General features: G+C 40.7%; 1 annotated feature.

Annotated features, from left to right (window-relative positions):
- Nucleotides 829-1,458: an enhancer, noted in NCBI's record as "OCT4-NANOG hESC enhancer chr12:79045498-79046127 (GRCh37/hg19 assembly coordinates)". NCBI's record gives its function as "activates a minimal SCP1, AML or CMV promoter by ChIP-STARR-seq in naive H9 embryonic stem cells {active_cell/tissue: H9 hESC(naive)}" and the evidence as "EXISTENCE:reporter gene assay evidence [ECO:0000049][PMID:30033119]".

Genomic DNA, 2,158 nt, shown 5'->3' with positions numbered 1-2,158 from the left:
TGCTTTTTTTCTTTTTCTTTTTATTTGAGACGGAGTCTCGCTCTGTCGCCCAGGCTGGAGTGCAGTGGCGCGATCTTGGCTCACTGCAAGCTATGCCTCCCTGGTTCACACCATTCTCCTGCCTCAGCCTCCCGAGTAGCTGGTATTACAGGCACACGCCGCCACACCCGGCTAATTTTTTTGTATTTTTAGTAGAGACGGGGTTTCACCATGTTAGCCAGGATGGTCTCAATCTCCTGACCTCGTCATCCGCCCGCCTCGGCCTCCCAAAGTGTTGGGATTACAGGCGTGAGCCATCGCGCCCGGCCATCATTTTCATTTGCAATACATCTAACTGCTTCTTTTCGTATACTATACACTTATTTCTTTTTTTCTTTTTCTTTTTCTTTTTCTTTTTTTTTTTGAGATGGAGTCTCACTCTGTCACCCAGGCTGGAGTGAAGTGGCCTGATCTTGGCTCACTGCAACCTCTGCCTTCCAGGTTCAAGCGATTCTCCTGCCTAAGCCTCCCAAGTAGCTCGAATTACAGGCATTCGCCACCACGCCCAGCTAATTTTTGTTGTTGTTGTATTTTTAGTAGAAACGGGGTTTCACTATGTTGGCCAGGCTGGTTTCGAACTCTTGACCTAGGTGATTGATCTGCCTGCTTCAGCCTCCCAAAGTGCTGGGATTTTAGACATGAGCCACCGCACCCAGCCTGTAGACCTATTCTTGTTTCACTTCTACCTACTTTGTTTTGTAATTTCTTGTTCATTTTAGTGAATGTGCCATGACTTCATATGTATCTGTGAGAATATTAAATAGATTTAAAATTCTTATTGACAAGTGTATAAAATTAATCTCACCTTCAGTAGCATAGCATCTGGAGGGCAGTGAGAGTAGCCTGCCCTGGGGTGCGGGCGATAAGGGTGTGTATTGACTGTTAAATTGTCTTTGAAAGAAAAATTTTAAAAACTGCTTTAAATTTGATCTGCTTTTTATAATCACCATGGCCAGAAATTCTAACACCAGTAGAATCCACTTAGAGGATCTTAAAGTTTCCCTCAGCTTGATTAAACTTTAGGTTTCTTCCTAACTGTAGGCCCCTAACCACTCTTACTTAGAGCATTCCTCCTTTAAGATGCAAATCTCCCAGTCTCTGGCCAGTTTTACAACCCAGGAATGTCTTTTTCAATAACCTGGAAACCATTCCTTTGAAATGTAATTGTCAAGAAAGATAAGGTCCTTGTTTCCCAGTCTTTGTGGGAAGGTAGGAGGCTAACTTAGATAAGCACCAATTAGCAGAGACAGATGGCCTCATCACATTGACCAAGCTCCACCTCATCCTCAAACCAACTCCTCCAGTACATTTCCACTGGCTCACTACAGTGCTTAAAAGCTCTCCCACCATATATATATATGAAATATGATATATATCAAATATATATCATATTTCATATATATCATATATATCTATTTCATATATATCATATATATTTTATATATCTATTTCATATATATTTATATGAAAGAGCTTTTAAAACACTGGATGAATAAGCAAGAAATTAATAAAAATGGTTACCTATAAGTATGTTAGCATTGGACTGGGAGGGATGGTGTGGGAGGGAAAGAGATGTGATTCAGATGTGTGAATATAGTTTTAAAAAATTTTCATTTTCTAACTATAAAAATATTTTATATAGCCTATCTTTTGTTAACCTTTGCTACATAAGGAACCACCTAAAAAAGTAAACAACCCAACTAAAACTCCATCATTTCCCACTTTTTGTTTCAGTGGAAATAAGGAAAAGAGATTGAACTCTCTCCACTCTTGCAATTATCTTGAATAAAATCTTCCTTCCTTATTTAACTCTGTATGATGTAATTACTGTTTGACAATTCAAATACTTCTACTCTCACAGCCACCTGGTGGTCTACCATTCAATGAGATTATACACACACACACATACACACACACACACACACACACACACACACATATATATACAGAGAGAGAGACAGAGAGAGAGAGAGAGAGAGAGAGAGAGAGAGGGTCTCCCTCTGTCGCTCAGGCTGGAGGGCAGTGGTGCAATCTCCATTCTCTGCAACCTCCGCCTCCTGGGCTCAAGGGATCCTCCTACTTCAGCCTTCTGAGTAGCTGGGATCACAAGCACACACCA

Source organism: Homo sapiens, chromosome 12, assembly GCF_000001405.40.
Source record: "Homo sapiens chromosome 12, GRCh38.p14 Primary Assembly".
Classification (NCBI taxonomy): Eukaryota; Metazoa; Chordata; class Mammalia; order Primates; family Hominidae; genus Homo; species Homo sapiens.
The sequence above is the reverse complement of the archived record's forward strand: the minus strand, read 5'-3'. Positions and strand labels throughout refer to the sequence as shown.